Genomic DNA, 21,410 nt, shown 5'->3' with positions numbered 1-21,410 from the left:
GTTATATAGTTGTTTTTTAATTGCATGTCTTCTTAGTCAAGGAGTTAAGTAACTAACTGGCTGACTTCTGATAGTTGATTTTGAGATGGAAGCTAATTAGTGTATTAGTGTTAAGGACTTGACTGAATACGCTAAATATGAATTCTGACTCAACAACTTGCTTGCTGTCTTTTCTTCAGGGAATTCTCTAAGCCTCCTTTTTTCTCATCTGGACCAGGGAGAAAATAATAGTGTCTGACTCAGTAGAGTGCTACGAGGAAAGACTGAGCACATTTATGTTAAGAATCCAGACCTGGTTCTAGAAATGTCATTTGTATTATTATTACTCTTAACATTATCATTGCTATTATTCCTTGAGGCAAGCATTGCTCATTTCTGGAGGTGAGGCGTTTATAGTAGCCTACTTTAAGAAGCCTTTCTGGTGTTTAGAATGTTCATGAAGAAATAAGTTGTCTCTCCCTGAGATTTTCTGTGTGGATTCTAAATGACTGTCTGGGCAGTTGTAGAAGTAATTATTTCATTTATGATTAAATGGTAATTAATTAAAATAATATCCAATATACATACTATAAATCAGGCATATTGCAAGCGGCAAGGTGAAGGCATATTCCCAGCCTTTAACACACTTGTAGTCTATTGTAAGAAAACAACCAAAGGATGATGATAGTGCAATGTCATAATATCTGCAGTAGAAGTGAGCACAGGGTGATTTGGAGGTTAACACAGCTTTGCTAGCATTGGAAAAATGTTCCAGTCTTTGTTGGTACCACAGGATGAAGAGGAGATAGATTTTTCAGACAGTGGGAAGAGCCTAAATAGTTTCAACAGGAAAGGAAGGCATGGACTGTTTGTCCTGTTTGAGGTACTGTGAATAATTAAATACCACTGGAGCATTGAGCAAAGGGTGGGGAGGTACACCAGGAGACAGTCCCTGAGGTTGGCTGGGAATGCTTGACAAGTTCTCTTGAGAAGTTCTGGTCTTTCTCTGCTGGTAATGGAGAGATTTTGAAGGATTTTAAGAGCAGCGGCAAACAAATTTGTAATCGGCAATATCATTCTGAAACCTTTGTAGCTGAAGAGGGGATTGGGTTGGAGAGGGTGAGTGTAAGTTTTTCAAGAGGGCCACAGTTTAGTGTGTTATTGAAGTAACACAGGTGGTAGGAGACAACATTGAACCTTGAAATAAGACAGCAGCAAGAGGAATGAAGTAAAATGGTAAAGTGGACACAGTTGAAGAGGAGTTTTGACTAATTAGGTAGGAGTGAATGAGGCAACAAGAAAAGTCAAGAATGTTCCCTTAGTTTCTCTTTGTGTTATGGGACAAGAGAAACTTTATGACTTCTTTCTCATTCAAGATTCAATGGTTACTATTTGGGTATCTGGCTCATGAGTAGTTAGTTATTCTTTTACAAGATTTAACACTATAATATTTGGTATTATATTTTGTGATTTTTTTCTTTTATATTTCTGTATAAACTACCTAATTATAGAAGGCTACTTCATAGGTTTTATGGTTATGAAATTAGATGCTGAGTATGCCAGTTAAGATTTTTGGTTAATGTAATTCACCCACCACCATAACAAGTTAGTGAGATAAGCAATCCTCTGTACAAGAAATACAGGCTTTATATTGCTACTACTTTATTTAAAGCCCAAGAAAATAATATTAGTTTTTGCACAGTTTCTATGAAACAGAACTGCCTGTCCCATGTAGAAATCCATGTGGATTCCAAAGCTAGAAATTTGAATTGAACTAGGATTAAATGAAAATGATAATGTGATTCTGAAGTTCAAAATACTCTTTGGAAAATTGCTTTACATAAAACTCACTGTAGAAAAGTAGAAGAAAGAGCAAAGGTAGTGAGGAAGAAAAATAAAAATGAAAGCAGGTATTAAACTGGGAAGATGGTGACTTCAGAAACAAGGCAGTCATTCCTTCCAAGACACATATATACCACACCATTTTCTTGTTTTAAAAGAACTTTATCTGTTTTCCTTGACTACATACTAAGATTCCATAGAATGGTTCTTCAGAATCTTGTTACTACCTATGCTCCTAGTCATTTTCCTTACAACTCCACTGCCAAAAGCATAGTCATGTTCAAACCACAGTTTTTGCCCTTCCTGGATATAAGACATGTATTCTCTAGTTATCAAATATTTTTAAACACCTCTTCCAAAGCAGTTAATTTCTCTCTCTGAGTTTCCACGTCACTTTATAGACATTGTATTATAGCACTTAACTAAACTGTATTAATTTCCTAAGGCTTCCATAACAAATCACCACAACCAAATGACTTCAAAGGGGTGACTTAAGACAACAGACACCTATCGTCTTACAGTTTTGGAGGCTAGAAGCTAGTTTGGCAGGCTTGGTTTCTTCTACTGGTTCTAAAAGATAATCTGTTTCATGACTCAGTGCTAGCTTCTGGTGGTTGCAATTCTTGGAGTTTCTTTGTGTTTCTTGGCTGTAGATGCATCTCCATCTTCACATGATGATCCCCTTCCCCTGGCCTCGCCTTGCCCTCAGTGTATGGGTCTCTGTTTTCTCTTCTTATCAGGACAATAGTCAATTGGATTATGGCCCACTCTAGCCCAGCATGGCTCCATTTTGATTTAACTAATTGTTAAATTAGCTAAAATTTAATTCTGAGGTTTGGGGTAGACATGAATTTTGAGGGACACTATTGAACCCAGTACCCTAATTTTTCCATTTTGACAACACATTTGCAATATTCAGGGAATCTTTCTTATTTTCTGGTTACTCTTTTTTTTCATATCTGCGTGTTGTATCTTAATGACTATAATGTCTTTGTGAATCTTTCTGAAGATACTAATTGGAAAATTCTTTAAATTCTATTTTATTTCTGGCATTAACTCTAGTCCCTCTATGGAATTTCTTTTTCATTTGCTCGTCTTGGTTGTTGCATTTTATACTATTGAATCTCTTCAGATATCTTTTACTCTGAAAGAGAGTTGGGTGAATATAGTGTGTTGTGGGTAGGTTGGCAGGATTGTGCAGAACACAGGATTCCCTTCAGGGTGGGTGGATAGGAGCAGGCCGGCAAATTGGGGTATTGTGGAGGTCTAAAAAAGTAAGTTTTATTTGGAGATAGAACTTTAGAGCATTTCAATCAATATGGGGTTACCTTTCCTTTTTCTTTTTCTCCATGCACTTTGAGGAAATATGAAGGTACCTTAGATTTTGCTCCACTTTTCTTTATCACACCAACATACCTAATTTAGAACTGTCTTCTCTTCTGTTGATTCCCTACTCTATTTATAGAGCTGTTCTTGCTAGCTATATTCTAAGGGCAAATTCTATAGCCAGACACTGAAAGAAATTCCAGACCTTCTGAGCAGTTGTCCCATAGCCAGCTCCCTCTCCTAGTACATGTTGCCTCTGAATTTGAGGCTCCTCCGGATTTCCTTGGGAAGAAAAGGACCAACCCCTTTTCTTTACCTATATTGAATTACATTACTCCACTTCCAACCTATGTATTCATTATTTTCATCCTATTTGCTTTATATCTCAGTATTCTAGTCCAATAATAATAACTTTTCCTGTTTTTCATCCCTGTGATTATTTTTCACCATTTTAAATAAAATTTGGATAAGAAGATAAGTTTACTATCTTCAACTACAGTTGGACTATATGTGTATAGGCTTCTTGTTCATACTAGTTATAAACTTGTGTATAGGAACACTATTTTGTTGTCGTTGTTGTTGTTTTTACCCAGAGTTATGAACAGTGTCTGGTTATTTTCTCACTAGGTTTTAAAAAAATTGTAGATATTTATAGGGTACAATGTGATATTTTGATATATATTTACAATGTAAAATAACTAAATCTGGCTAATGAATAAATTTCTCACCTCACATACTTTTTTTGTGGTGAAAATGCTTAAAATATACTCTTTTAGCAATTTCAAAATATATAATGCATTATTATTTATTATGGTCACCATTTTGTGCGATAGATTACTAAAGCTTAGGTTTTTATCACCATCTGAATAATTCTGTGATTTTCCTTGCCTACAATGATGTATTTCTCTATGATTCTTCCCCACAAAGGCAATGTTTCTTCTTCTTTTCTTTGAGCTCACCTTCTTTTCCCACTTTTTAATTTATTCTGATCCCCAAATACATACACAATCCTACTGAGAAAATTAGAAGCCTAGCCATAATGTGTGATTTTCTCATTGCCATAAGAAGCTTTTTAGACTAACAGTAAATGAAAAATTCTTGAAAAGGATCACTCGGACGACGGTGACACTTAATTTATTATCTACCCACTGAGAATACATTTGTAAGAACCATGCACTTTGATGGCTTAACAAATGTCTCTGAGTCTCCATAGAAAGTACACCATTAAGTTGGAACAATATTTACATATTAGTGTACTTTAAGTTTTTACACAGAAACATCGCCGGTGGGACCAAATGCTAAGTCCCCATTATGTAGAGAAGCTTCTAACTAACAATAATAGATGGCACTGATTGTCCTGCTAATTACAGGGAAACGAGGCCTTCATGGAAGGATGCCGTGTCCTAGGAAAAGATGCTGAAGAATGGATGTTGCGGCAGCAAGGAAATTAGACAAGGAGCGCAGGAAAAAGAAAGAATCCCTATTTATCGCACTGTTGTTACTTTGTTTCATTTAATAAATTAGAAATATCCAAAGGTGAATTTTTCCACATTCTATCTAGAATATGCTTCATCAAACAAATGCTGTAAAGACTATTACATGTAAAACTGAATTATGCCCAGATAGTCCATCTGAGCTGTGGCAAATAGCAGGACTGAGAAAGGTGTTTAAAGAAGCATAGGTACATTATAGCGGTCATGTAAATAGAATGAAAAAAGTCTTCATTTATAATATTATAGAGATTAGGTAAAACTGTATTGTTTTAGGAAAAACCATTGTAAGATAGTAGATGAAATAAATTTATAAAATAGATTATAATAGGCCGGGCGCGGTGGCTCACGCCTGTAATCCCAGCACTTTGGGAGGCCGAGGCGGGTGGATCATGAGGTCAGGAGATCGAGACCATCCTGGCTAACAAGGTGAAACCCGTCTCTACTAAAAATACAAAAAATTAGCCGGGCGCGGTGCCGGGCGCCTGTAGTCCCAGCTACTCGGGAGGCTGAGGCAGGAGAATGGCGTGAACCCGGGAAGCGGAGCTTGCAGTGAGCCGAGATTGCGCCACTGCAGTCCGCAGTCCAGCCTGGGCGACAGAGCGAGACTCCGTCTCCAAAAAAAAAAAAAAAAAAAAAAAAAAAAAAAAATAATAATAATAATAATAATAATAATATTCAGAACAAAGTATTAGAATGAATTTGTGGTTTTAAGATGAGGTGTCTTTATAGTTAAATTATTTATTTTTAAAACAAAAAGTTTTCTTAAATCATAAATTTAAATATTTTTACAATGGAAAATTCAGAAAATATTGAATAGCCTGAGGAAGAAAATGGTCTTTTTTTCCCCAAAGACTATTAAAAATTTAGTTTAGTTAATTCATTTTCTCTAAGATAATTATATCCATGAGGGCATACGTAGGATTTTTTTTAAATTTAACCTTCACAGGCAAGAACATAGTACCTTTTCATTTGTTTAAATCTGGTTTTAGATCTCAAAAAGTAATTTTATAGCTTACTTTATATAGGTCCTACATGTTCATTTTAAATGTTATTCCTAAATATTCTATGCCTGGTTGTTATTGTGAATGGTGTCTTGCAGTCCATTACACTTTAATTAGTCATTGATGGCATATGAGTAAGCTACTACTTTTAGTACATTAATCATAGGTATAGTTATCTTACTGAATTCTTATTGATTGAAATATTATTTAAACTTATTGTCTTAGTTTATTTGTGGATATGCCATATATAAATGATAATTCAGTTTATAATTTATAATAGTTATTAATAGTCTATATCTTGTATCTTTTAATTTATACTATATACATATAATTTGTAATTACTTTTGTGGTCATAATTTTCAGTCATATTTATACCTGTTTAATTGCTACTACTGCTTTTCTGAAATTATTTTCTCTGGAGTCAATTTGGAAACATCTCTTTGTAATATGCTATATATTTTCCAATTTCTTTATGGAACTAAGAAATAGCTTGAATATAATATATTTTTGTGTGTCTTCATATATCCGAGGATATCTTTCTGTTGTATTCACATAAGAAAGTTATCTTAGCTTAGTACACAAGTTTTTGATGTGCAATTTTGTTTATTAAAACCTGCTATCTAACATTTAGAAATAATAAAGTGTAGGCAAACAAAGAGGATAGAAACATTTCTATGCTGTGAGCACAGACAAGACCCCAAAACAAAATCTTGGATCTGGAAAGGCCCCAAGGAAAGCATAACCTTTGATTGTTAGCATCACCTCCTGAACTATCACAACACTGAAATATAAAGGAACAGAACTTAGCCAAAGGAGATAAGGGGTGTTTAAGAAATAGAAATTAGTGGGATAGAGGTCTTAGAGATGAGAGCAAAGAAAATTAAAGGAACTGAAAGAAGATAGGCATGACCAGAGGTAGAGGGCTACTGGGAGCTATTGAAAGAGGGCCTAGAGAGGTAGTTATGGGACAATCAAAGGATATGACCCTACAACATAGTAGTTGTATAACCATGGATAATTTAAGTTTCTTTTTCAATTTCATAATAAAACCTCCTCATAAATGGGTATTATGAGGATTAGATGAGATAACATATTTAATGTGCATAGCAGACTGCCTGACATAAAGTGAACATTCTATAAATCATAGCTATTACTATATCAAGCTTAATGGTAGGCTAATGTTCAAAATCTTTAGTCTAATAACCGGTGGTATTTATCAAGTGATTTTTGTATTGGCGAGAGGTGGGGACAGAAGAGTCTCTTTTTCATCGACTCATAGGTAGAAAATCCACGAGGTTACAGAAGACAGTTTTGAAGATAATTGTCTTTTTTGCCAATAAGTTGCAGAGCGCAGCTGACAACCCTCTATTGCTGCTTTGACTGTAATTGCATTAGATATGAACCCTGTGTAGAATGAAGATAGACAACATTCCTGATACCATTGCCTAACTTCACTCTGAATGCGGTGTAGGGAATGAAAGATCAAGTGGTACAGAGGAGACAAATAATGAATTACTGAAGCCTGGCACAGGTTTAATGAATTCTGGTGCCTAGCACAGGTTTAATTACTGATGCCTAGCACAAGTTTAATTAATTACTGATGCCTAGCACAGGTTGGTACACAGTAGGTACTTACAGAAGTGTTTTCCTAACAGACTGGTGGATTGACTGCTTTTTAGGTGGAAAAGTACACTTTTCAGTAAGCTAGACCCCAAAGGCTTCTACTGCTTCAACTTACAAATGCATCTCCAAGGGAAGCAACTGTAATCCCCTTTCTTCCCTCAGTTCTGTGACTCCTTGAAATGGTTGTCAGATGATAAGGAACAATGCACAGGAGTACCCCTTGTCCTCTGTTACACCGCTGGTTGTAGAGAACGTGACCATGGTGGTAACTTTCTTCACCTCCTGAACTATCAAAACACTAATGACTGAAAAACAATATTGTTGGAGAAGTAGGGTTCATCCCTCTTACAAAGTAGCTCCCAGTCTTCAAAACATTATGGGTGGACTGATTCTTGGCTAATGTTATTTCCCTAGTCAGAGACAATGCCTGCACCAACTAACTTTCAAGCTGAAGGGAGTTTTAAAATTTCACTAGTCCTGTCAATATTCACTATTTTCATTTCAAGAGCTTGAGCACAATTTACTATGATCATCAACTCTTAACTATTCTCAACAGTTATTTTGACTAATACAAACCCTTCTGGATTTTGCCATGTAGTTTATTGTTGTACTGAGTTTCCTGGGCTATTATAGTGTGTCACCTTGTTATTTATTTATTTATTTATTTATTTATTTATTTATTTATTTATTGAGATGGAGTCTCACTCTGTCACCAGGCTGCAGTGAGTGCAGTGGCATGATCTCGGTTCACTGCATCCTCCAACTCCGGGTTCAAGTGATTCTCCTGCCTCAGCCTCCCGAGTAGCTGGGATTACAGGCACGCACCACCATGCCCAGCTAATTTTTTGTATTTTTAGTAGAGACAGGATTTCACATGTTGACCAGGCTGGTCTTGATCTCCTGACCTCGTGATCCACCCGCCTCAGCCTCCCGAAGTGCTGGGATTACAGGTGTAAGCCACCGCGCCCGGCCACCTTGTTATTTTTTTATGGATGTACTGCCAGATAAAGTATGATACCAGATTAACTTTCAATTTCAGATATATAGTAAATAAATATTTTTAATCTAAGAATCTATACTAAATTGTGGTTCACATTTATGCTAAAAATTGTTCCTTATCTGAAATTCCCAATGTTAAATAAGGATCTTATATTTTTATTTGCTAAATCCAACAACACTACATTGTGTTTTAAAGTGAATTCGGAAAGAAGCTTTGGTGGTTTTACATTGCAGTCTTTCTCACTGTTTTAGCATTAGTCCTATACACAAAATTTTCCAACTATATGTATTTATGGTGCTGTAGAGAGTCTACTGTAACTCTAATTCTAATTTTTGAAACAGTTAGTGCTCAAATAAAGATCGATAACTCCTCTGGCCATCCAGTAGCACACTGACAGAACAAAACAGACATGGCTGGGTCCTTGCCAGAGGTGATTTCTGTGGTCCTAGGGCTAAGAAAGGGTGAAATTTCATGGCATTTTCATCAAAACGTTATTGGACCAACATACTTCAAATTACCTTCTATTTCTATTTTTACTGTTGCTTATACAACTTCTATTGTTTGCATGTTGATAGTCTGTTCCTAGTATATTTTAATGAAACAAGGTATGACTATGACAAAAAGAGGGCTTTTAATTATTACTAAATAATTATACACAAAGGCAATACTCTGAGGAAAACTCAGTAACTACTTATGTGCTGTATAGAAATCCATCTTTTTGTTACAGGTGTATTTTTAAATACATGTGTATATGCATTCTTCTGGCAATTTGGGTTCTCATAATTTTCATTTATAGTCGTCGGGTTATTATATTTATGGTGTGACTTGTGATATTTTCAGACAGGCAATAGTAAATGGGCAATTAAACTTAAATAACAGTCTGCTCCATAATGTATTCCAAGTAAGGTTGCTTCTGGCCACCACATTTAACTGGGTCCTACAATCACTCTCTTTGGCCTTCGCTATATCTCTTCTGCAAATAATTCTCCTCCCTAGCAGTGCCAGCCTGCGCTACTGTAAGCTCCGCATAATTCAGTAAGTGAGGAACAAGCAGTCGAAGGAAGATATGTGAGAATATTGGGACAAAGAAAAAGGTTGGAACAAAAGAGCATATCCTATAACTGTAATTCAATGAGACTGATTTTCCAGTGTTTGGTAAATTGTCATTTGAAGTAAGTTCCAACAGAGGACTTCCAAACATATTTTAAATAATGGCAATATCATATTAAGGTTGTACTCTCCTAGAGCAGAAATGTGTTCTTCGGTACACAATTCCTTTGAGATATTGCTCATAAAAAATAAATTGCATTTGGGTACTGAGTCACACACACTACCTCCACTTGTAAATTTACAATGCACATTGTGTATTAAAGCCTCTTACAAGTTTCATTTAAAACAAAAAGGGAAAGTGCTTATCTTCCAAATTTGTCAGTTTTCTGAAAACATCCAGTTTCATGGAATACCTTTGGTAAAGTACTGTTCTTAGGGCATCTTTTTTAAAAAAAGGAAGAGGTCATTTAATTGTTTATCTGAATTTGGTATGTGTATTTTTAAAGTCATCACTTTAGAGTAATATATCACAGTGTGTTAAGATGGCTAATAAAAAGAAAATTATACTTGGATTTACTTTTCCATGTAAAACTGAAGGACTGAGATGTAAGATACCAATTTGGTGAAATAAGGATTTAGCTCAACATTGTATGTTTTTGAGCTTGGCCATTATTTAAGACAACATTTGAGAGTTTTGATTACTTGACATCCTAATGTGCTAAGGTATCAACAACTAAAAAATAAAGTATCATGAAAATAAGAATCTCTTCATGAAAGTTAATGGCAGTTTTTCTTTCAATCAAGGGGAAGTCTGCTGAAATGCTGTTGTCTTTGTAATTGGCAAAATTGTTTCTCAATATAATAATCTTACTTTCAGGAAATAAAAGAAAGTTTATTAAATATGAGGAAAGTAATTGTTGCATAAAAGTGTCCCTTGAATAATTGTTTCATAGTAGTGAACATTTTATAATAATAACCTTTTTTTACAACAGAAGGAGATGGGTTGTACGTAAACTATAACAATCCACATGATAGAATATTCTATTCTGAAAAATATTTATGAAAAGAGTATTAGTAACATGGAAAAATGCATATTCTAAAATCTTATCATAGAAATAAATAGAAATTTGTTCCTGTTAGAGGGCAACACTGGGAATGCCTTGAGTTTGTGCATGCTCCATGAATCGATTGTTTTGATTGGAGTGGTGTGCAGAGGCACAAGATGCATGGAAGGGAGAGCCCTGTGTATTTCTTCAAAATGCACCAGATGTTTCAAGAACTCCAAGAAGGCGCCTCAGAGAAGCCAGAAAAAAATTTCCCAAGGTATATGATTTGTAGACTCTTTTGTATTATGTAACTGCGCTAGAATTATACCTCTATTTTCTTTATTTAATTACAATAAAATTTTTATTTATTTATTTATTTATTTATTTATTTATTTATTTATTTATTTTTGAGACAGAGTTTCACTCTTGTCACCCAGGCTGGAGTGCAATGGCACAGTCTTGGCTCACTGCAACCTCCACCTTCTGGGTTCAAGTGAGTCTCTTGTCTCAGCCTCCCAAGTAGCTGGTATTACAGGCACCTGCCACCATGACCGGCTAATTTTTGTATTTTTAGTACAGACAGAGTTTCACCATGTTGACCAGGCTAGTCTTGAACTCCTGACCTCAGGTGATCCACCTGCCTCAGCCACCCCAAATCCTGGGATTACAGGAGTGAGCCACCACAGCCAGCCTACAATAAAATTTATAATTAAATTAACACATACAAGAAATTATGATAGTACATTTATTTAGTAGACTTGAAATTTTGTATGCCTTAGTTTTGTGTTGCTATAGCAGAATATCACAGACTGGGTAATTTGTAGAGAACAAAATTTTTTTGGATTATGGTTCTGGAGGCTGAGAAGTCCAAGATCATGGTGCCAGCATCTAGTGTGGGCCTTCTTATTGTGTCATCCCATAACATAAGGGAAAAGAGAAGGAAGAGGATAAGAAACAGAGAGTGGGCAAAACTCAATATTTAATAAGGAAACTGCTCCTGCAATAATAGCATTAATCTATTCATGCAGGTCATGCGCCCATGACCCAAACACTTCCTATGAGGCTCCACCTCCCAATACCATTGCATGGGGAATCAAGTTTCCAACACATGAACTTTGAGGGGCACTTTCAAACCATAGCATTGTAGCATTTTGTTTTCCAAAATACAGAGAAATTGAATAATAACTGAAACTTATCAATCACATAACCTTAGTAGCCTGCGTTATCACTGTTATAGCCCAAAGATGTTCATAATTCCATACTCTACTACCTAATTAAATATAGTATGTTACTATTTCTATTAAGAATTGCAAGTTAAGTTCTTTTTAAACTCTTGCTTTTACTTTCTTCTATGAGAAAATACAACATATCTGAAATCATTTCAGGTATAAAGTCTACTATCATTTTAAATTTCATTCTGCGTTTTCTTCCGGCTTTATGCTTCTGCTCCCTTCAGATAGAGCCTGCATTCATGTGTCCACAAATGAATACTTACATACTTAAAATCTCTTATGAAGATATCAACTGTCACAATCATGCTTATCCCTGGTTCTGAATAGTGAGGAGTAGGCAAGTAACCACCATAATTATTTAATCTTTGTTCTATCTCTGTGGATTCACAGATCATTTCACAAGCAGGCACTTAAGTACATAAGTGGCTCTTCAGTCAATGCATCATACAGAACTGGATGAATATTTTGCATATAATCTTTCCCAGGTGCTATGAGATAATTAAAAGAGAACACTGTGCTTGGTGAACCCTACCTTTCCTTAATTCAGAAAAGAAATAAATGTGTGGCAGCATTTTTTTTATCAAGCAACATAAGGTAGTAAAAAGAAAAAGTACCTGGGGGAAATTAGATCTGAGCACATACCAGCTCTGTCAATTAAGTTAATGACTTCCAGGAAGTTCTCCCTTTCCTTGCTGAAAAGGGAGATGTAGTAAGGTTTAAATGAAAAAAATATATAAATCAACTTCACACAGAAGGCATAGAAGAACATAAACCAGTGGTTGATGTTATCATTAGTGATTAAATTCAGTGTATTAGCTTAAGTTTACTTATCTAGCCAACCCACATCTATGGAGACTCTGAACTAGATGATTAACCTGGGAAAAATATGCATATGCTCTTAAATAGTATAAAAAATATTCAGAGCCTGTAAAAGCCTATGTAATTGTCAAAATTAATTTGTTCTTTGAGTTTCTACAAAACGGAAGACTCTGTGTTAGTTAATGACGCCACACAGAGACTACACGAGTCTTATAAAACTTGCATCTAGAAAAGCTGAGCTAAGCATTACTATCAAATATAAGTGTTATAATAGGCAGTCTACAGGAGACATGGAAAGAGAATCTAATCAAGCGGAGGAGATGGAGAAGTGAAGTTTATAGAGATTCTTGAAGAAACAGTAGGGAATAGGATGGAGAAGTGGGTGGGGGTGAGAATGTTTGTGAGCTGTGAGATGAAGGGCATCAAGTGGGCCAGTGGTATGATACTCCTTGGGAAATATATAAAGTTGAGTAATGCTGGAACTCCAAGAATCTGAGAGGTGGAATGGAAAGAGAAGTGGCAAGTTGGCAAAGGCAGATGGAGATTGTGGAGGACCCGGTGAGCCACATTGAGGAATTTGGGCTTATCCTAAGAGCGATATTCTAAGACATGAACATTCTTCAATTTTATTTTCATATTCTAGGGTAAAACAGATTTTTATTGTTAAAGATGTGGGACCATTTCAGAGGAAACTTGCTCCATATTTTTATGTCCTTTTTATTGCAAGAAGACAGAGGTATCATTCAGTTGGACTTGAAACGAGTCATAATGATTATGTTAAAATTTTTAACATATGTGGATAATATTTCAAAGATGCATAAGATCTTACAAAAATTTTGAATGTAAAGTTTGCTTTCATTTCCAGGGTATTGTCATTCCCAGGACTTTCTGGGTACTGGTTATTTGACTCCTGAATATGGTTGATAATTTTGTTTCATTAGGCACAATATTTTTTGTTTTGTTGTTGTTGTGCTTGTACATTGAAAAGCAAGTTTAATGTTTTTATTATGGTGGTGATCTTCTATAATAGACTACAATTTGTTTTAGAAAGGATCCTGGTTGTAGAAGCACGTCTTCGCTTAGCACAAAGGATTGGTCAAATTTCAGGTTTGAGCTTTCTGCATGGGGAGTCTCTTTGTGGAGAATATTTGAGCTTGGGGGGCAACAAAATTTTCACACTGTGTTACTTTGCTACAATGCCAGGAAATTCTAGTAGTGGAGTGACTCCTTTCAATTAATGCACTATGATTTCCAAATGCCTCTGTTAGCATACAAGTAAGTTTCCTGAAAAGGATAACCTTTTGAGCTCTTCTCAGCCATGAACTACTATGAATTAGTGATCAGATTGCTAACCACTCCATCAGTTTGGGGACAGAAGGGCCGGATGGCCATGTATTCATCTGTCTTCCCTCTTCTGCTGTTAGGCTCACTGTGCTTCATTCATCTCATGTCCCCAGCACCATCTCAGTACACTGCATGGCATAAAACAGCCCGCAATCTCTTGTCCTCAATTCCAAAACTGAAAAAGCTCTAGGAATAGCAGAATTTTGGTAACTAATTTGCAGCAAAACTGAAGTGAGGTGAGGCTGTTTATAGTTTTCTTTATTTATCCCACTTAGTGTGAATGTTTTGATTGCTACAGAAATATTAACGTGCTTGATTATGGGGTGCGGCCCCAAACCCTGCTGGAGGTGTTAACATAACATATGCACATGTTCAGGATGCCATATTGCCTTTCTAAAAATCTAAAAAATTCAGAATTCTGAAATACATCTGGCCCTCAAGGTTTTGAGTAAGAGACTGAAAACCTTAGAGAGTATCATAGAGTCAGTCAGTGCTTTCTGTTTGTTTTTTTTTGTTTTTTTTGTTTTTTTTTTTTTTTTTGAGACGGAATCTCGCTCTGTCGCCCAGGCTAGAGTGCAGTGGCGCGATCTGGGCTCACTAAGCTCCGCCTCCCAGGTTCACGCCATTCTCCTGCCTCAGCCTCCCAAGTAGCTGGGACTACAGGCACCCGCCACCACGCCCCGCTAATTTTTGTATTTTTAGTAGAGATGGGGTTTCACCGTGTTAACCAGGATGGTCTCCATCTCCTGATCTTGTGATCTGCCCCCCTCGGCCTCCCAAAGTGCTGGATTACAGGCGTGAGCCACCACCCCCGGCCATAGTCAGTGCTTTCTAAGTGACAAGCAGGGTATGCACTTTATACATATTACCTTGTTGAAGCATTCATGCAGAGGCAGTTGTCATGGAGTGGACAGGGCAGGGCTTTGAAAGTCAGACTACCTGGGTGGAAATTCCAGCTCTATCACTTAACTACCTATGTGCCTCTGGACATGCACCTTTCCCTCTCTTTCCCTCAGTTCTCTCATCTAAAAATGGCTGAGGCGGGCAGATCATGAGTTCAGGAGATTGAGACCATCCTGGCCAACATGGTGAAGCCTTGTCTCTACAAAAAAAAAAAAAAAAAAAAAAAAAAAAAAAAAAAAAAGGAAGATATTAATAGTAATAATGTTTCCCTAGTAGACTGGTAGTAATGATTAAATGATTGAAGAGATGTGAAGCACTTATACCTATGCTTTCACAGGCTTATTATTGTTAATTATTGTGGTAAAACTGTGACATTGGCACAGTGATCCTCATTTTATAAATGAAGAAATTGAGATCTGTTGAGGTTAATTTAAATACACATGTTCACATAGCTGGAAAATCATTGAGGAGAATTTGAGTTCATATCTGTGAGGTTGCCAAATCGGCAATTTTGGACATTATACTCTTATTAGTTTTCTATAGAAGGGAGAGCTTTAATGAACTAGTTTGAATAAAAAGGTTGAGAAAATGAGAGGCTGTTGGAGGAAGGTCAGGCAGTAGACACTGTCCATTAGGGAACCCTCAGCAGCCTTGAAGGGGAAGGTGCGGTATACTTAGTAGTAGGAGGAAGAAATCAAAGGCAAAGCTAAAAGTAATAAGTATAACTTTTGCTACTCTGCAATATTGCTTAGAACTGATACTGTCTTCATGGCTGTAGATATGCAGATATGTCTTACACAGACAGAAAGTTTTTAAAAAATGATGATTTAAGCATTGAAAAAAGCCAAAAGATAATATTAGAAGTTGGAAAGCAGTTTATTTTGTGACAAGAGTTAATTATTAAAATAAGAATGGAAAATTACTGTTTTTTTTCCTTTCATTTCAACGAAGTTCTCAACCTTGTACCTGGAATCTAACTAAGTTGCATTTTAAATGAATTGATCTTTTAGTTTTTTTCTTCCATTTCCATGAGAATCCTAGAAACTAGTTTGTCAAGCTTCTTACTTTTCTCTGCTTAGAGATTGAAGATTGTCCATTGAGACTCTCTTTTAAGTATTTATTTTGAACACTTTACTCAACATGTTAGAAGTTCAAATAGTTTGAGAACAATTCTACTTTCTACTATGTGTGAGTAAATCAGAAAGTTGTGAAGAAATTGATTTTTTTGGAAAAGGTATAAGTTATCAAAAATGCTAACTATGGAAGACATTGAAAGTTACCAAAAATTACACCAAGAATTCTTTTAACCTACTTAGTTTTATAGTGGGTTCTTTTAAATATCAAAGAAGGATAACTTTAAATATGTATCATTTATTTCACACTGTAGGAAAAGATTCTTTCTAAAAGCTATTAAGTAAATTTTATGAAAATCTACTTGTCTTGAGTCTGACAGTAAAAATTATATAGCAAACTCACTTATAAATATAGTATGCTATATTACTAAATGGAATACTTGCAAATTGAATTCAAGAATTTATTAAAATATTGATCTACCAAAATCAGGTAGGATTTAACCTGTTAGACATAATTTAATATTAGAAAATGATTATTGAAACAAATAAAATCAATATACATCATAAGGAATACACAGTGTACGCACCATGAAATTAAAAGAAAAAACAATAAAACTTGATTGGAACTAAAAGTGTTTCACAATAAATTGTGCATATCAAATTCATTTGTTTTCCTTATATCAGAAATGATTGGTGATAAAAAGACATACTTTTTACACAAATCTAATAGGAGGCTTCATATATTTAGAAACTAATGGTACCCATTCAACAAACATTTTTGAGGTCTTAGTATGTGATAAAAATTTGATTTATACAGAATTAACAAAACCAGATGTAGTCTTCTCATAAAATTTGTAGTGTTAGAAGCAGAAAATGGTGTGATACTAACTATATGACATAATTATTGTTTAAAAGTAGGATAGATATGTGCCAAATTATTAACATACAAAACATTGAGCATTTAACACTTTGAAATGTCTATATTTAAAATTACTATGTTGACAATATATTCCTTTGATAATAAAGAACAACATAGGAAAGAAAATAATAAATTTTGGTGTTGTTAACTTATGGCTTTATGTAATTTTCTATTTTTCATGTTTAGCACACAGTCTACAAATAGATGATATTCAGTAAATGCTTTTTTAGATGATTAAGATACAGTGCAATTTGTAGCTTTAGAATTGTACGGAATGCTAAGTTGAAGAGACTGTGTGTCAGTGAAATAGTAGCAGAAATATCATTAGAAAAATCAATAGTTAATATATTTTTCCATGACATATTATTTCCAAGATATAAAAGTAGTTTTATATCTTTTATAGTTTTTATAAAAGATATAAAACTAGTTTTATATCTTTTATAGTTTTTATAAAAGATATACAAGTAGTTTTATATCTTTTATAGTTTTTATAAAAGATATAAAAGTAGTTTTATATCTTTTATAGTTTTTATAAAAGATATAAAACTATCTTTTATAAAACACATTTTTATGCCTTCATTCTATAACTTTGTTTTCATGAAAATATGGAGTCTAACATGCATAAATTAGCCAAAATACATCAGTAGGTTTCGGAAATAAAAAAACATGTTGAGTTTATTTTTCTCATATAATAAGAATTGATATCCAATCACATGAGATTTTTCAAAAGACTTTGTTCATTTCTTTTTTGTTAACTGATTTAAGGCATACTTCTTTCAGTATCTATCAAACTCACTCCTTATATATTTTTGCCAAAATGAAAAACAAAGAAAAGAAAATTGAGATTGATGAAGATGATAGTCTCTTTCCAAGGTGCAATTGATTTTCAGTTAAAAAAAATTTCGCCCTCTGAATGTTTAAAGACAAATAAAATACTGTATCATTTCCTGCAGAAAGCCTAATTTTTACTAGTGTTCTGATTCAAACTTGGATTTGAACTGTTTAATTACATAGTTTTATATGTATCAAATATTTTTGGAACATGTGGGTGAAACTTTTTTAGAATCATCAGATTTAACTTTTATTTCATTATCTTTTTTCTTTTAGTATGTTTCTGTTTTTCCTATGAACCTTGAAAGGAGATTTCCTTCTACTGTTTTGTTTGTTTGTTTGTTTGTTTTCTATAGGGAAAAAACATTCAAGCTCAAAGATAGAACAGTCATCTACTGGGTAGTTATTACCTGATTTATTAGCTCATGGGTCCCAAAACTTTTCTATGCATGATTCCCCCACCTCTTTGAACAAGGAGGGCTTAAATACTTGCACCATTACAAAATGGCAATCTTAACCCTGAACTACTTGCTCCACGCTGGCAAGCATGGATTTTTCTGTATCAAAGACAGAAGTATTTTGTGCTAATCTATGTTTTGAATGTTTTCATGTGTATTATCTCATTTCTCTTCACTGCACTCCTGCAAATTTTTAAAAATTGGGGGTGTACTTTTGTTATTGTTTTGATTTAATCCCCATTTGAGGGTTACAAGGATCTGAATAGTTGTAGTTTACACAGTTGGTAAGCTACAAATCCAGTTTCCAAATTTGGGGTTTTGACTCCAAATCTAGGGTATGTTTCAATCTACAATGAAGTCTTTGCAAAATTGTTAATAGTAAACAAAACACAATTTTAAGAAACAAACTTTACACACTGCCTTCAGCATCAATAGTGACTGATAAATGGATTTGAAGTCAATTATATTAAGAGCTTCAAAAATCATATTGCCATCTGTGTGAATCAATAAATTTGATTCACATCCAGCTTTCCAGTCTGATTCTTACCCACCTTATTTATATTATAACAGGTCTATTTTCTAATGACAGCTAGTAAATCTATGCATCAGTGCTAATTTCTTTGGTACAGTGGAATTGTATTACTAAGCACAGATGTACATGTCTTACTGTGAGTCAGACAATGACTCACTGGTTGTGATGAAAGTAGAAGAGTCTCTTGACTATTTCATTAGTATTTCATGCCAGGACATGCCTTCAGTATTTTCCTGGGTGTAAATTATAATGTGCAAGTTGAGAGGATTAACCAATATTCTCACTGGCCATTCCATATTCAAAAAGAGAGAGGCATCAATGGTAGGCCTGGCCACTCAAATTATTGGACAAGGTATTTGATGTCTCTAAATATCATCTGTTGGGTGTTAATAAGTAAAGTAAGGAAGATTGTTATTATTTTCCACTTTTCTTCTTTTTAAGAGAATCTCCAACTTTGTTGAAGTTTCCACCATTCTTTTTACACAGATGTATGTCTTAAATTATGCTCATCCCAACCCACATACAATGGTAGGCCTGATTGGTCCAAGAAAAATCCCATTTCTCTTGTAGGTAAATTGTTCAATTTAAACAATAAAATTTTAGGCCAAGAATCCATGAAAATTTTTGAAGAAATCATTCTTCTAAAGTTCTCAAGAAGAGAACTTAATTTTCTTTCTGTGTATGATATTATATCTGGATGTAATAACTAAGACTATTGTTTGACTAAGGATGAAATAAGCACAGAGTGTTAGAGAAGAACAATTGAATGAACTGGCCACTTGCTGACCTAGCTGAGCCGATAGGTTAATCAGTCTAACAGCTCCTTTATCCTCTGATTTTCATAAAATTTGAAAAAAAATCATATTTTAACCTACTTTGAGTCAGTAGTTCTTGTTTATTGTGGCTGAAAGCATCTTACCTGACACAATTCCAAAAGTTCCTTCCAATTCAGAAATTCCTAGAAAAATGTACCTTTTACTTAAACAATTTAAAACTATTGGGATTCTACACTAATTTATACAGAATTTTAGTTATATTTCCTGAACCCTGTGTTTGTTCATAAAAATAGCATTACTTTTTTCATTGTTCTTTTTGCTGAGAAGTAGAGGGAATGGATCAGATTTTATTAAATTCATTAACGTAAATCTTCCCATTAAGTTTCACTTTATTTCACTAATTATCTAGTATTTTGTTATTGCAGCCTTAGCAAACTAACACTCCCTAAAACAATTGCTTTATTTCTTCCCATTTTCCAATATACAGAGTTGAAGTACAGTGTGTGTGTGTATATATATATATATATATATATATAAAACTTGCAGCATCACTTCACTTACCAGTTTCATGTTGACACAGTCTTCTTCTTTATACATTTTAACGAGACGCAATAGTCCATTCATATATTTCTGTTTTTTACTACTATAAATTAAATTATTGAGAACGCTATTGAAATGTTGATGATAAGAGCATATTTGAAAATACACATATGCTCTCTTTTTGAGGTTTTTTTGTTGGTCAAATTCCCAGGACCTGGATTACTGTTTCAAAGGTCACAGATATTTTAATGGCCTTTAATAATAATGCTATATTCACCTCCAAAGAGATTACATAAATTACAATATCATTAGAAATGAATTATTCTATATGTTCTTAAGCTTAGGTGGCAGACATGTATTATTAACTGAAGGAGAGAAAAAATGAAGTTCAATCATAGAAGACTAGGGGTAGAGAATTTTCAGGTGGAGAGAAGAACCACAACAAAATTTCCATGCTGGGAGAGTGTCTAGTTCATTTGAGGAACTGTGAGGCCATTTGGCTGGTACAGGGTGAGCAGAGGGGAAGAGTAGTGAATTAAATCGGAAAATGTGTAGGGCACTAGATCTTACAGGGCTTGTAGTCCATTGCAAGGACTTCAACTTTTACTCTGATTTAGGTGGAAGCCATGGAAAGGTTTTGAGCAGAGGAATGGCATGATCTGGCTTCTGTTTTAAGATAGTAGCCCACACCAGGGAGGACGTTGTGGAGGTGAGTTAAGCCCAAACTGCCTCTCTAGTCCCCATTTCAGCTCAGGAGAGAAGAAGGGCTGGAGTGGATGACAGTGCTTAGGGCAATATGTAGAGTAATGAGAATATATACCAGGATGGAACCATAGGAAATAGCTAAATGTACAGGTACCTGCCATTCCAGGCACACAGTGTTTCAGTTAAGTTACACTTCCTGATCTTTGAACATTCTTCTGTACTTTTTGGTCTTTGGCCCATTGCCTGAGCATTTGCTTGCCTTTTTCATCTGTCAAATTCTACTAATAATTTAAAATCTACCTCAGATACCACTGCAAACAAAAATATAGTACATCCAGTTAAATTTGAATTTCAGATAAATAATAAATCATTTTTTAGGATAAGTATGTTCCAAATATTGAATGTTATGCTATTGTTTTCACTATTTACCTGAAATTCAGATTTAACTGGACATCCCATAATTACCTGGCAACCCTGTTCTTAAACTATTATTGAATACTTGACTTTGATGTTATTTCAGTTAGGATAGGTTGCGTTATGCTGCAGTGAAATGAAACTCCAAAGTATTAGTGGCCTAAGATAAGAAAGTTTTATTTCCTGCTTTTACTACATGTGTTTTGTGGGACAGCAGAGAAGGCTTATTAATTACAGCTCTTCAGAGACTACTGTTTCAAACTTAACTCCTTACTATGCCAGAGGGGAAAAAAGAGAGCTCTGCAGTCTCACTTTAGCAATTAAATGCTGTAGCCTGAAAGTGGCAAACATGACTGCTGCTTGCAATTCATTGACCAGAAATAGTCCCTTGTACCCATCAACTAAAACCAAATGTACAATTCTGTCATGTCCTGGGCAAGATGGGGATTGGAGCTATGTAGAGAATAGTACCAATGATGCAATCTTTAATGTAATTCCCCACAT

At 34.7% G+C, this 21,410-nt stretch overlaps 1 protein-coding gene across 28 annotated transcripts in view; it reads left to right on the top strand.

The window, feature by feature from the left end:
* The window catches only part of KCNC2 (potassium voltage-gated channel subfamily C member 2), a 169,762-nt gene that overhangs the window by 13,024 nt on the left and 135,328 nt on the right, over positions 1-21,410 (top strand). The window contains exon 2 of one of the 28 annotated variants that reach the window (XM_006719390.5): positions 4,518-4,934. The exons of the other annotated variants lie outside the window; for them this stretch is intronic. Within the exon in view, the coding sequence (XP_006719453.1) occupies positions 4,518-4,598 (81 nt within the window). The 3' untranslated portion in view covers positions 4,599-4,934. Of the gene's footprint in view, positions 1-4,517; positions 4,935-21,410 lie in introns of those variants that run through there. 28 annotated transcript variants of the gene reach the window in all.

The sequence above is a fragment of the Homo sapiens genome, chromosome 12 (assembly GCF_000001405.40).
Source record: "Homo sapiens chromosome 12, GRCh38.p14 Primary Assembly".
NCBI classification, from domain to species: domain Eukaryota; kingdom Metazoa; phylum Chordata; class Mammalia; order Primates; family Hominidae; genus Homo; species Homo sapiens.
Note: the sequence above shows the minus strand (reverse complement) of the source record. Positions and strands in the feature narration are given on the sequence as shown.